The 15,149-nt window shown below is 49.7% G+C and overlaps 2 long non-coding RNA genes across 3 annotated transcripts in view; both read right to left on the bottom strand.

Moving 5' to 3' along the window:
• SLC26A9-AS1 (SLC26A9 and RAB7B antisense RNA 1) overlaps window positions 1-15,149 on the bottom strand; it is a 43,183-nt gene that overhangs the window by 11,121 nt on the left and 16,913 nt on the right. The gene's annotated exons all lie outside the window — the stretch shown is intronic.
• Window positions 8,587-9,050, bottom strand: LOC103021295 (uncharacterized). Its single transcript, NR_110982.2, has one exon. It is a non-coding gene; the product is annotated as an uncharacterized LOC103021295 (long non-coding RNA).

Here is a 15,149-nt window from a genome sequence, read left to right as displayed (position 1 = left end):
GCAAGCTCCGCCTCCCGGGTTCACGCCATTCTCCTGCCTCAGCCTCCCGAGTAGCTGGGACTACAGGCGCCCGCCACTACGCCCGGCTAATTTTTTGTATTTTTAGTAGAGACGGGGTTTCACCGTTTTAGCCGGGATGGTCTCGATCTCCTGACCTCGTGATCCGCCCGCCTCGGCCTCCCAAAGTGCTGGGATTACAGGCGTGAGCCACCGCGCCCGGCCGCCTCCTTTATCTTATACACAATCATAATTGGCTGTCAATGGAAATCACTAAGTAGACTTCCAGGCTTCTGTTATGAGAAGGATCAGTTTTCTTCCCCCTTCTCTTCCCACCCAAGGAAAGAGAAGGCCCATAACCTGGAAGAAGAGGGGCCCTTCGCAACTGCTTGGGGCAGGGTGTCTGTTGAGAGGCTCGGAGGATGCTTCTTAAGACAGTGTCTTGTCCTCGGGGGCAAGGCTTTTGATTTCTAGATGCAGGTCGGTCTCTGCCAAAATGTGGCCTGAGAGTCAGGCTTTCTGGGTGGCTTTGGCTGCCCTATGAGAAATGAACAGATAAACCACCCTCATCCCTGCTCCACTCCCACACATCTGTGAGTGGAAATTAGAGCCCACAGGGTGGGCTTAAGGAGAACATGCCAGACCTGAGGATCTTTGGGGCATCCTGGGTGGAATGGTGGAGGAGGGAGGTGGAATTGCCAGGACCTGGCAGAGACCTCAGCTGTCTACACTGCCCATTTTCACCTCCCCACCCCCTGCACCATGCTGCTACCCAGTCCACTTCTCCCTCCTGGAGAGGAGGCAGATCTGCGTCTTAGGAAGCTGACCAGAAGCAAAGGAAACAAAACTCAAAGAAAGAAGGAGCCTTTAGGCAACAAAAAGATTGAATTAAAAACTGTCTGAAAAACTGAGTAATTCTGCCCATGCGAATTACATTAAATTATGTAAATTTATGTAAATAATCACATTTCTCCCTCTTCTTTCCAAACCCATCATTTTGCACCCCTGGAGGTGTCTGAAAGTGAGGGATCCTGACCGAGCTCCTTGTGCTAACACAAAGCTTGAAGAGTTGAGTTTTCCAATCTCTCCCACTCCTGGGATTGCAATTTCTCCCTTGGGCTCTACTTCACTCCACTCTGACCACAAGAAAACCCCTTTCCCAACAGCCCTCCACCCCTCACAACTCCCTTGTGCTGGTGACTGGACAAGACATTTATGTAGCATATTTAGAGATGATGGGGCAGATTTGGAGGAGGGAGGAGCTGAAAATAGATGTCATGCAAATACAATCTCTTTATGCTAATGATATGCAAATATAACGTTTCCCTCTCCTTGGCCCCCTGGAGCCAAGAAATGACTTGTCTGTGTGCAGTGGACCAAAAAGAGGCCAGGAGAGAAAGCCAGAGGGAGGGAGAGGGGAGAGAGGCCTGAGAGCCCTGGCTGACCCCTACCCCCATTCCCACCCCCAGACACAAATGACCCCCAGTGAAGGAACAGCTGCCAAGACAGGCCAGGCCTGGAGAGAGCGGTGGCCCAGCCGTGGGGCTTGGGGTGCGTGGGGGTATGGGGAACATCACCTGTGCTCCCGAGCTTTCAGGACAGGTGCTGTCCCCCTTCACCCGCCCTCCTGTGGGGAGTGTCTCTCACTACCTCCCTCCACCTGTGTAGAGGTTGTCTCCCTGGGCGCTATTATCTCCTGCAGTTGCTCGTAAATGACAACACCCCCAGTGGCTGGCCTACCCAGCACTTGAACCCCTTCTGGCTGGGCTGCTTGCCGGAGGATTAGCTCCTCTTTAGAGAACCCACAATAGCCCTCCACATCCTTTGTGCTTCTGTTTGCAGCAAATATTGAAGCTCTCTCCTGAAACCCATTATAGGCCGCTGGGACAAAGGCTTTCCGCCGGTCTCCAGGACAGAGCCAATAGCAGGATGTTCCTCGCTACTGTACCTGCCGCCTCACCTGCTGCTTCTTCTCCAGTTACCCCCGGAAGGAGATGATCCACATTCAGATGAGGCATCTCTGTGCCAAGGCAGTGGACAGAGCAGATGCCATGATGCCCACACCATGGTTTGCCCATTGGAGGGGATGTGCCCATTGCCCATTGGGTGGGCGGGGGTCACAAGTAGTTGGGAGATGCAAAGATCAATGGCGAGGAAGCCTGGACTGGAGCTGAGTAAGCAGCAGCAGGTGTGCTGAGCTCCCCTGCAATCAGGGCTTCACGAATGCTGTTTGCTGTGCCCCAAACATCCCTCCTTCCCACTCCCTGCCTAATTTTCAGGGACCAGTTTTATTCATCTTTCAGGTCTCAGCCTAGACTTCACCTCATCATCTCCTCTAGGAAGCCATCCTTGCCTCCCAAATTGAGGTGTTCCTCCTCAGCACTCACATCTGGTATTTTAACGGCCTACTCACTTTCTGCTTTCCTCATCCCAGCCTCTGAGCTCTAGGCATTTTCGTGCCGAAAACCTCTGACACAACTCCTAAACATGGCAGATAAATATGACTGAATAAATGAATGACTGAATGAATTTAGCAAGTATGGGCTGTGCCTCATCCTGGAGTCCTCAGAATTCTGACTCAAGGGGTGTTAGGTCATGAAAGGCCCTGGGAGAAGGGTCGAGAATCTTTCATGGCCTTCCATATGGACACCTCAGTTTGGTGAAGGGCAGGCTGGGATGAAAGTCCACCAACCATGTGGCCTTGGGTGAGTCTCTGAACCAACCCAGGCCTCAGTCCCCTCATCTGGCAAATGGGAAGAACAGCATTGAAAGACGGAGCGGGAGAATGCTCTGAAAACAGCAAAGGGGTTGTGTGGAGCTGAGGTGTGTGAGCATGGTTATGTGGAGGGGATGTTACAGACCTCGGTTTGGGGCGAGAGAAGAAACAGAGGTGTTTTCTGGCAGGCAACCGTTGGCCACTCTGTAGCAAGCGCTGGGCGGCAGAGGACATGGGGGTCCTGTTTCCAGGCCTGAGGGAAGAGGTGGCATCTCTGGGCCCGGGAACTTCCAGCGGCAACCCTGGGGCCTGGGAGCCGCTGGCCACAATCCCCTGCCTGCCCTTCCTCTCTCCTGGTCACTGCCAGTAAGGAGCCTGGTCCAACAGTCCGGGAGCCGACTCCAACTCACTGCTGGGCAAGTTACTCATTTCCCCTCCCCTCAGTTTCCTCTTCTATAAAGTAGAAATAATAACAGTGCTACTGCATAGGGCTGCTAAGAAGATTAAATGAGATCCACTGTATAAAGTACTCAGCACCGCTCCCAGCACATAACAGGTGCTCAGTGAACCAGTCCATCATTCCCACCCGCCCCTTTACTCATCCTGTCTTGGTTCTGGGAATCACAGAAATCACCCTCCCATTTTACAGAGGGAGAATCCGGAGAGGTTCTGGAACTTACCAGAGGTCACCAGTGACTCAGGAATGGGAGTCAGACACAGACCTGGGGTGCCCGGGGTTCTACTCCCATTTCCCTGTGGTTTGGGGCTTGAAAGAATGAATCATTTGGGGCTTGAATCATTGCGCCATATGTACAAATCCAGGTCACCCTGAGAGGCTGCAGCAGAGGCTTCTCCTGCGCTCCTCTTACCCCCTTGGAAATGCTGGGCTATAGAAACCCTCAAAAAATAAATAGTGGGATGGCAGATATATTGAGAGACAGACGGCAAAGCAGAAACAATTCCCTGACCCCCACCAGGCTCTCCGAGAGGCACCTGAAGTGAGCTGAGGACCCCAGTGATGAAAAGAGGCATCTGAAAACCAGATGTCCAGCCGGGGAAAAGCAGGGCCGAGGCAGCTCCAGCAGCCACGGGGTTGAGGAGGGTTCCTTGCAGGCCTGGCAAGCCAGGCTGGGGCACCCGCTCTGAAATGGAGCTTTCCCCAGCAGGACGTCAGAGCTTGGGTGGCAGCCTGGGCTGCTCAGCATGGCTGTCTCACAGCCTTTTAGTCACATAGGAGGCTGCTGTGGAAGGGAGGTGACATCCTTGAGAGCTGGCTGCAGTTGGCCTTCTAGATATGTCCCTGCACAAAGTGAGAGGCAGTTGGCAGGGGAGGGGGCACCCACAGGAAGGAGAGTGACTCCACAGAAGGGCATCCAGCCTGCCAGGCACAACTTCCCACTCCCACCCAGGAACGCTGGCAGAGGCTTATCCCACCTCCCAATTCCCCTTGGGGATCCAAGCCATGCCAGGCTGTTTGAGCAAGAACCACACCTGTGTATGCCACCCAGGTATCTGCCTGTGGACAGGGACAAGAATAAGGCTTTCCAGACAGACAGGACACTCTCCCTGACCTTCAGCTCATGAAGGAGGAATCAGGTGTCCCTTGTTCATGGCTCTGTTCCCTGTACTGAGCAAGTGCCAGGCACATAGTAGACAATAAAACACCTTTGAGGAGCAACTGAATGAACTAACGAACTGTCCTCCAAAAACACCGGGCTGGGAGCGTCCACAGCTCCCTCCTGGACCCATATCAGTATCTCACAGGTCCCTTCCTCTCCTCTCACCTGAGTCCTTTCAGCTGTCATTTAATCTCCAGTTGCTTGGTCAAGACTCTAATAAATAAGCCTCTCCCAGTTCTTGGATGGTGATAAGGTGCCTCCTCAGCCTTTTTTGGAAGAAGTAATCCTAAAAATATCTTTCATCACTTCCTTCGCTCTCGCCTTGGCCCATCTCCAAGCCCTTCCTCAGATTTCCTCTTTGAACCTGAACCTCCGCGTTCCTGGTTGGCTCTGCCAGAGGGAGAGGGCTCTCGTGTGAAGAAGTCTGAGGTGGGGGTGGCATGGGAGTGGCTGACCAGGAGGTAAGAAAGCAATTTTCTGCTTCAAGGGCATCCAGCCAGGGGAATGCCTTCCCGCCTGTTTCTGAAACTCTGCTCATTCAACCAGTCTTATCTTACTGCCACCAACCCACACTCCCTCCTGGCATCCTGGGAGAGCAGTCTCTCCCCAGCCAGGGGATGGAGAGATGATCTCATGTGGTGGATCTAGGCTTTACTGTTCCTAAGAACTCCTGGGGGAGCTTGTGAGAATGTGGATTCCTGGGTTCCATTCCCCAACATTCAACCTGGAATGAGGTCCAGCCAGCCCATTCTTCACAAGCTCCCCAGAGGATGCTGACAGTCCAGGAACACTGCTCCCGGACCACCTTCCCAAAAGACCAAAGGTATTTGGTCTTTTGGTAGATGGATCCTGCAAGGAGGACAGATCCTGCCTACATCAGACAGGAGGCAGATGGAGAGGCAGGGTCAGGACCTTGGATCTGGCCACTGAAGAGAGTGAAACTCTCTCCCACCATCCCCCAGCTCTGGGCCCAGAACAGCAGGAAGCCAGAGGAGGGAGGGGTAGGAAAGTCCCAGAGAAGAAAAGAAATGACACAGCCTGGCCTGGCCCCAGCTTCTTCAGTGACACGATGTTTCACGTGGTCCCAGGCCCCAAACCAGCAAAGACTGGCTTTCTTGTTGATGAAGAAGTCTAGCTGCTGGATCAAGGGGGGAGAAGGGCAGGTGGTGGCTGACCTCCAGCCTGAGTGAGGATCTGTTAGCCTGTCCAGTTGCCCCTCTCATCTCTGCCTCCCTTTCTCAGGAGTCACTCCAGCCCTGAACTTGATAGCCCAGCTCAAGGCTCCTGAGCCTCCCCCAGCCCGAAGAAGAGCAGCAAACTCTCCCCTACTGCTTCTTCACCCCATCCAGGGGAGACTCCACCCCAGTCCTGTAGCCCTAACCTCTAGATTCAATCAGTCTCTGTGCAAGCCTGCTGCCTACCCACCCTCACCCCAGAGAAGCTCCTGGGAGTTCCAGACACCCTCGTATTCAGAACTTCAAGTGCAGAGTCCTGGGCTGGGGATTCTGGCTCTGCTGCTAACTAGGCCTGTGATCTGGGGCAGGCGACTGGCATTCCTGGGCCCCAGGATTTTCATTTATAAAGTGGGGCTCATAATCCCTGCCTCCCTATGAGGATGAATGAGACAAGCCATGTGGAGGCCCCTAGTATAAAACCCTCACTTTGAATAATCACTATGTTTCTACCATAAGTTCAGCTTTGAGACACCAGATAAAGGTGTCTTCAACCATTGTCCCCCCTCTGTGTGGTATCCGGTAGTCTCCAGAAGAGGAGTGCTTGATCGATCCAATGCCTGCTCTGTTGAATAGACACTGCCTACTCAGCCTCAGCCAGCCTGGCCTTGCCACTGGCCCTCGGACACCCAACTCTCAACCCCCCCACAACACACCCTCCCTCTAACATACCCAAATCATAAGCACCTTTCAAAGCCCAGCTCAACCCCAGCCCTCAAGAGCCCCTGCAGACTGCAGTGCTCAATGAGTACTCCCCACATCAGGGTCACCCATCAGTGTTCCCTCCCCAACTAGACCCCACACTGCCCAAAAGCAAAATCACATTCCAAAAAAGTCAAAAGACGCACAACACAAACTGTCCTCACATCTGTCCCTTGCTGGGGACTGGGAAGGAGCAGCATCAGGTAGTGTCACAGTCCCCAACACAGAAATCCAGGGTCAGGGGTGTTCCAGCTGGTGGCCTGCCAGTCTCCGTGTTCCCAGTTCTGACTGGCAGGGGCTATGGTGCGAGAGAGCTGGCCACTGGCAGAGCCTATTTTCTCACAACCAAATGATAGCCCAAGGACTTGGGGCACTTTGCAGAACATTTTACTTTTCAGAGCACTTCGAATGTGAGAGGCTGGAAGGGGCCTTCGGAACCATCTTGTCCAACACTCCTGGCTCCATGTTACAGATGAGGAAACAGCACAGATGCACCCATAGTCTCCTGGGCTGAGGGGCAGAGCTAAAGTCCAGGTTTCTAGAACCCTGATCTTACTTTGAACCGCCTGGGGTTGGGGGGAGGTAGAACAAACAGCTATGGAATTGACAGAGCCTCCAACGTTCACACTTAATTTAGTCTTCCTCCCTAACCTGTGACATAGGTATTACTGAGTGCATTCTAATTTTCCTGTTGCAGGAGGAGGCTCAGAGTGGTTATGGCACCTGCCTAAGGTCACACAGCAGGTACGTCTGGAGTTCTGCCTCTGGGAGCCAAGCATGCCAAGCTTTATTAGAGACCTGAGCTCTTAGTGTTTCACTGGGCTTGAGGAAAGGGCCTCTTTGCCTCCTAAGTGGGAGTGGGAGTGTAGCCACGGTGGGAGGTAGGAGGGAGCCTCACTTTATAAATTCTTATTCTCATTGCATCCTGAGAGGACTTCCCTCAAGGTTACACAGCTAGTGTAAGTTACTGGCAACTTTTGGGGCTCAGCAACATGGAGCTCTTCTGCTTTTGGGTGGTTGCCCCTCTCTGCAGCTCTCTACCTGTATATAAGAGCCCCATGGTGGGGACACCTGTGGTGACCCAGAACTTATTCACTCACTCACTCATTCAACAAATACCTGTTGAGCACCAACCATGTGCTAGGCAGTGTGCTAGACACTGAGGATGCTAAAGTGAATGGGACAGTCAGACAGAGCCAGAGGGGCTGGGGCACCTAGGGAGGGAACTGGGGTCCACCTTGGCCCCCACCTCTTGGCCACTAACCTATACTATATTCTAGTCGGGGAGACAGATGGTTAAACAGAGAGGAGTTGATCACTCATTGTGCTGGGTGCTATGACAGCGCTGTGCAAGGGGTCAAGGAGCCCAGGGGAAGGTACCTGTTCCAGGCTGGGGGACGACAGAAAGAGAAAGTTTGCTAAGTTCAGAAGGCTGTGCAGAAGTCAGCCTGGCAAAAGAGAAGAAAGGGCATTCCAGGAAGCAGGGCAGACAGTATGGTCAAAGGTGTGGGGAAACAAACAGCTTGGCACATTAAGCTGTTTGTACACACTTAAGAGAAAGATCTGAAAGGGTGTACACCCAACTGCTAAGGCGGATTATCTGAGGAAAATGAGATTATTTAGACGTGCTTTTTTATTTGCACACTACTATCTTGTTTGAATTTTTATAGTGGGCAAAAAATTACTTTCATAAGCAGAAAAATATATAACTAATAAAGAGCATTCTCTGTATGATGGAACTTTGAGAAGCGTGATGTTTGGGAACAGAAAATTGGAGGCGGTACTGCTGGGAGTGGAGGAGAAAAGCCAGAGAGCTGTCACAAGTCTCTGGACCCAGGGAAGCAGCAGGTTGACACCAGCCTCCAGGCAGTGGCCTGGGGTGTTCATTAATTGGGCGATTCCTTTCCTGGGAAGCTGCAGGGCAGACCCAGGGGGCTGGGGGGAGATGTCAGTCAGTTCAAACTGATGTCTTCTAGCTAAAGCTCCAGGGAGTAAGCAGATCTTTGGGGTTCTGGTTGCCCGCCGCCCGATCCCAAGCTAAAACTCTCATCTTCCTTTGGGCAGGAGTCATGCTAGAGTGAGGCTGAGAGGTGGTTCCCACCAGCAGCATCAGGGGTTTCTAACTGGGCTGTCTTTCTTGACCTCTGACTTTTTTCACCATCTCACTCTCCAGCCTGGACCTGGGCTGGACTGCTAAAGGACAAAATGCCTGAAGCTCTTTGAACAAGGTCATTTGCAAAAAAAAAAAAAAATCTTGACCTTTCAAATGAGTTTTTACAGACTTCCATCATTTTTCTTTTTTTTTTTTTTTTTTTTTTTTTTATTGAAAAAAAATTATATTTTGGAAGAACTCACTACATAAGGTGACAGAATTCCAAAATCAAATTACATGAAAATATACATCGCAATTTCTTTGTACAATAGGTGAGAAAAATCTGCAGTATAGAAGAATAGAGGCAGAGAAATATGAAGGACTAAGGAGAAGGGTATGAGAGTAAATAGGATTTGTAATAGCAAACCCAGAAGTTAAGTAGAAAGCCTGTAGCTGTGCATGCTTCATTTATCCAACCTTAATACCAGGCAACTGAAGAGGGAAAAGTCAGATTTGCTATTGTTTGGGGAAATTTTCAGTAAGTTGAATTAAGAACCATCTATTTTTAGTTCTCAGGGGTAATGACTGGGATCAAGAGCTCACAACGGCCAATAAATGTTATTGCTATATCCAATCCAAGAGGTGGGTGCAACTAGAATACAAAAAGGACAAAGCACCTAGTGATGACTCCTTCGGACTTCCATCATTTTTCTCTAGAAAATCCTCTATTTGTCCTTTGCCAGAGGAGGCAGAAATAACTAGCAAACTGTAACTCAGGTGTGTCATTCAAACACACACACATTTAGTTTCTTCTCCATTCAGTGTGTCCCATAGGAAATGGCTGCAATTTGAGGAGTGACAACACTATCCCCAATTCAGAATAACCTCTTCTTCACTGGTGCTTGGAATTTTGTTTTGGGGTTATCATCTTCATCCTAAAGCTTGTTTGTTCAGTCTCCCGCTTTTCTTTTTTTTTTTTTTTTTTCTTTTTTCCTACAGTGGATGCCGTGGAATGGTTAGGAGGGGTGATTTCCCAACCATTTAATGCAGGTTCGTTGGTGCATATTTTCATGCGTGGAAGTCACAGGCCGAGATGGTATTATCAGTTCCACTGCTTAATATGAGCTCAGTAAGGAAATACAGTGCCTGCGGACAAGCTAGGGGTTCTGGCTGATGTACATAACCAATACTTTCTTCTCACCTTGGGGACTGTGGAGAGTCTCCCCAAAAAAAGATTGGAAGAATCCAGTTGTTCAGAGGAAGAGGGGCTTGACTTGGGGCTGAGACCGAGACGCACATGGAGCCAGGCCCCAGTGTGACCATTTTGCTATTGGCTAGAAAAATGTAGAGCTGCACTCTCTGCCAGCTCAGGGCTGCCTTCTAGAGCCTCAAGAGGTTAGGAGCAGCTCTGGGAGACAGGGATGAGTCTTCTACAGTGACACTGCTGATAAAGATGATGGGCCTCATGGACGAGGTAGAAACAGTAGGCAGACAGAGGGACGTTTCAGAGAGTATCTGATTTTAAAAGTGATGATGTGGAAAATCATCAATTACCAATCAAAGTCATGTCATGTGTGCCAGAAAACACAGAACACATATTTGGGAGGCAAGTGGGGAAAGAAGGCAGGGTTGGGGGTAAGGCAGGGCTCCGCTGACCTAGCTGTGTGCTTGAAGCGGCTGAGGAGCTTTTACACAATGCTCACAACCAGGTCCCACCGAGGCACAGTCAACCTGAATTTCTTGGGATAAGGCCTAAGAATCTGTATTTTTAAAAACTCCTCCAGAAGGTTCTGAAATACAGCCAAGTCAGATAAACCTAACTGTGGTTAAGATGAAGATGGGGGCTGGAGGAACAACCACAGGGTTAGGGCAGGAGGGAGAAGGGAGCCTAGGTCTGGAAGGGAAGGACTGGAGGGAACAGGCTGGCAGCAGGTAGCTCTGTGCCCATTTCTGGTGGCCTCCTGACGCCAAGAGAGCCAGTGAAGAAAGAACCAGAACCCCTTCACTCTGAGTTGCTTCAGAAGCAAGCTTCCTGTGGCTCAGTCAGCCTCCCCAGGGGCAGAGGCCATTTGGGGAGGAGGAACACCCCCTCTTCCAACCAAAGCCCTGATAAAAGGAACAACTAGGGTTTCCCTTCGGGACCAGCAGGATGGACTAAGAGCAATTTTCTGGGTCCCTCAGGCCACATATACCATTTGTCATTTCCCATCAGTGCCTAAAATGCCTTTGCCAAAAGCTGTGCCTCTCCCGCTAAGCCATGCCATGGTGGGTCAGGGAACTCCAAGTGAAGGGAAAACTGTGACACAGAACCTAGGGCCTCGGTTTTACTCGAAGGTGGGGAGGGGAGAACTGCTTTCGTATCACAGATAAACTTGGGCATAGTGGGGAGTGGATGCCTCATCCACATGCACTTTGTTTAATTAAAGACAGGATCAGTTGGGCACAGTGGCTCACTTTGAGAGGCCGAGGGGAGCAGATCTCTTGAGCCCAGGAGTTCGAGATCAGCCCAGACAATTTAGTGAGACCCTGTATAAAGAAAGAGAAGAAAGAAGGAAAGAAAGAAAGGAAGGAAGAAAGGAAGGAAGAAAGGAAGGAAGGAAAGAAAAGGAAGGGAGAAAGAAAGAGAAAGAGAGAAAGAAAGGCAGTCTTGCTAGGTTGCCCAGGCTGGTCTCAAACTCCCAGCATCAAGTGATCCTCTCACCTCTGCCTCCTGTGTATCTGGGATTACAGGCATGAGCCACTGTACCCAGCTTACATGCACTTTTGAGGTAATATATAATTCTTCAATGACACATCTCCTGAAACTGTTCCAACCTCTCCTCTCCCTTTTCCTAATTTTTGTTATTTTGGGTCTTCTGGTTGCTGCCTTTGGGACTTTCAATATCTTTAAATAAATCTATCTATCTATCTATCTATCTATCTATCTATCTATCTATCTATTTTCCTTCCCTCCTTTCCTTCCTTCCTTTCTTCCTTCCTTCCTTTCTTCCTTCCTTCCTTTCTTCCTTCCTTGCTTCTTTTCTTCCTTCCTTCCTTTCCTTATTTCTTATTATTAATGCATCAGCTCTAGATAAAGCCTATCACCCCGCCTCTGGGAGGGATGTGGGAATCTATATCCTCTGCCCCTCCTCCAGGTTTCTGTGAGCCACAGCATTACTTTTATATCATCACAGTTTTAAGTCTTCTGCACTTTGTCTATGGGTTGTGTCTAAGAATGAAGCTGCGCCCACTGAGTGCCGCTGAGTTGCACCTTTGCGTTCCTGTGGAGACACAGCCACGGCTCCCTGTTCTTAGATGAGCCTCGGGGGAAGTCCAAGAGGCGCAGGGCTGCGGAGCCTATCGGGTCGCATTTGGAGACAAACCCAAGTCAATACCCTGTAGAGGCAACACCTCAGTGGAAGGCGGTACAGTTACAGTGTAACCGGGACTATCAGTCATCTAGTGTAAATGGCTGGGAGCAGATCCTTCTGGTTTTGTTAGGGAGGGGGAGGAGGGCATGAAGAAGGCAGAGCCCTATTGCCTGGAGTGGGAATAGCCCATGGGGCTGGGGGCAGGTGGTGCCCTAAAGAGCAGTTAGTAGCAGAAACAGGAGGCTGGGAACTGAAAAACAGCCCAGCTCACAGATGTCTCTTGGCTCAGCCCTGTTTATGTTCAGGTGATCAAGGACAAACAGTATGAGTGCTCTGGGGTGTTGACCATGCCCTTGTAAACACAGCTTCCCTAGACTTAATGAAGATTAGATTTGGGGACATGATTTTTGGTGGTTAAAAAAAAAAGAAAAGTCTGGCTTTTTATAAAGCAGACTCTTTGCCAAAGACTGCAGGAGTCATTATGCTGAGGGAAGAAACCTTCACCCAAGTACATATTGTATGATTTCATGTATATGGATGAAGTCATAGAACAGGCAAAACTAAATCTGGTAGAAAAAAAAACAATCAGAACAGTTGTCGCTTGGGGATGGGGCAGGGATTTATTGGGCATGGGGGAGCTTTCTGGAGTCATCCTCATGTTCCGCACCTTGATAAGGATTTGAGATGCACAGGTGTAGGCGTTTGTCAGAACTCATGTATGGCACATTGGAGAATTGTGCATTTCCTTGTATGTAAAACTTATCTCCATAGAAAAAAATAACTGTGACAAATATTGAACTTTGTTAATGATATGATGCTGAAGTATTGGCCTAAATGGCTACTGATGTCTGCACCGTGCTTTGAAATGCTTCCAAAAATACAAGGGATCGATGGATGGATAGAGGAATGGGTAGTTGGGTAGATATGTGTTCTGCAACACAGAACAAAATGTTAAGGGAAGACTCTAAGTGGTGGGTATACGATGTTCATCATAGAAGTCTTTCAACTTTTCTATATGTTGGAGAAAAATTTTTCATGATAAAATGTGGAGATAGGAAGAATTAGGGGCAGAGAATCATCCTACCTCCGTAGGACCCTCTCAGCTCCTCTCCCAAGGCCTTGGTTTGTTTGCTTTGGTGGAGCAGAGGCCAGCAGCTGTTCTGTAGCTCTCCTCCCTGGCTTCCTTCTCACACTATCCCCTGTGTTCATTTGCTTGGGCAGTCCCAATAACTGCTGTAGATGTCACTGGACCGCCAGACACATGGAAATCTGCATCTCACAGACCCCCCACCACTTCACTGTTCTGAGAGCCAAAGGGTCCTGCTTCCCAGGTAACCACTTGCCCAGCAGGCAAGTAGCCCCCCTTCTCTGTATTCAAAGCCAAGAATGCTCTTTCTCTCCCACTCCCAGGCATAGACATAAGCAAGGGGTATATTTCCTATGTGCCTCTTGCTTCATTCTTTCATTGCTTTTCTTTCTGCCTGGGCTTGAAGGCTTTCACCAGTAAGGTTTTACACATTATTCATCCAGCTACTTCTAGGCAAGTCCACTTGAACTGTCTCTACCAGCCCCACCCCCACCCCCTTCACCAGAGGATAAGCATTTTTTTTATGTTTATAGAAACTATCATACACCCTTCAGAATATTCCACACCATCCAGTCTCTGATCTAATACCCATACCCTGGGAAGCTTTCCTTTGTGTCTAACCTGAATCCTGCATGCTGCTTTTCTATAGAAGCTGAGGGGCCTGGGGCTTGGGGTCTGTGGTTCTTGATCTGGGTGTGCTCATGTCAGGTGTGCAGGGCTGTGTTTGTGTAATTGGTGGGGCAGCAAAATCAGGTGCACTAGGGTCAAACCAACCTTTCTTCCCTACTGGCCCTTTATCCTACACTCCACCCAGGCACCTGGTGTGGCTGGGCTACTTGAGGTGAAAGAGCAAGTCCCCACCCCACCCCCACCCCAGTCTCCCTGGGCTAAGGACTTGTCTCAGATGACACTTCTCCACCCAGAGGACAGCCTAGTGTGGTTCACCTTGGGTTAATCCATCTGGAAGCAGCAGCCCCAGGACACCTCTTCCTCCCCAAACCCCAACTTCCTCAGACAAATCTAAGCCCACAGAACAATTTACCTTACAGTCTTAGAGTAAGGGCAGGAATTGGAATAGGAACCAGGTATGTGACAACAACAAACTCTCTACTTGGTCTGGGAGAGGCCGGCATGTCTTTCACATTTACAGAAGAAGAAACTGAGACCTCAGTTGGTGAAATGTCTCCCCCAAAGTCAACACAATTCCCTCTTCTCGAAGCCATCCTCAATGTTCACAACTTCCTGAGTGTAAGTCACAAACCATCATTTTTCAGCCTGGCAGTGTATAGAAATAAGAGCACAAGGCTAGAAGTCAGGAACCCTGAGAGCTAACCCAAGCTTGGGCATATCCTAGGTGGGGGTAACGGATCCTCAGTCTCCACATATGCAAAATGGGGATAAATAGCTTCAGATAATGCATACTAAAGCACTCTATAAACTCTAAGTGCCCTACAAATGCAAGGAACTATTAAAGCACTATTTTTTCTTAACCTCGATTAGTAGCACAACTTCATCTATCACCTGCTTACTATAAGAGACAATAAGAGGGGCCTGGAAGTTACTAAACCCACAGGGTTCTTTCCTGATCCAAAAGACCTCCAATGCTTGCTTTCTCTTCTCACTCTAAGCAGGAGACAGAGGTGAGCCAAGCAGGAAGACTATGCCCTCATCCAATGAGGCTTAACTTATGCTGGGGCATTAATTACCAAGCTTCCATTGTTAAAGATGCACAGGGCTAGGTGACCTGGAAGACCCTATACTAGAATCCAGAGTCTGGGTAGGTCTGATGAGCTAGTGAATCAAAGGTCCTCCAGACCTCTATTTACAGGAAAGGAAGAGTCCCTGTGATCAAATCCCTTGGTGCAGAGAAGAACTCAGGAAATGGGCTTCTATGACCTCTTTCCCCAGCTAGGCCCTTGGGTTCCATCCAGCCCTTAGAGAGGGGGTTGGGGGGACGGTGCAGGACTACAGCAGAAGCAGAAAGAGCTGTTCTCACCAGGGACTTAATGAGACTCAGGACCCATGTGTGTGTTAAAGACTAATGTCCCATTATAAAGAGAACCTCAATACAGTAGATTACAGAATATAGGAGTTTTTCTCTTCTTGGGACACTAGTGAGTCTCAAAGTGAGCAGTCCTGGCTGCTGGCATTCTCAGCTTCCTGAGGTCATTCACAGGCCCAGGTTCCTTCCCCCTGTTGCTTTCCCACTTGCCAGGCCATTGTTATCATGCATAGTGAAATCTGGGTCCCCACCACATCTAGGCTCCAGCTGGCAGGAAGAGGAGAGGGCATGCAGGAAGCATGCCCAACAACTCAAGACCCAGACCTGTAAGTGGCCGGCCTCATTCTCCATT

Source organism: Homo sapiens, chromosome 1, assembly GCF_000001405.40.
Source record: "Homo sapiens chromosome 1, GRCh38.p14 Primary Assembly".
Taxonomy (NCBI): Eukaryota; Metazoa; Chordata; class Mammalia; order Primates; family Hominidae; genus Homo; species Homo sapiens.
The sequence above is the reverse complement of the archived record's forward strand: the minus strand, read 5'-3'. Positions and strand labels throughout refer to the sequence as shown.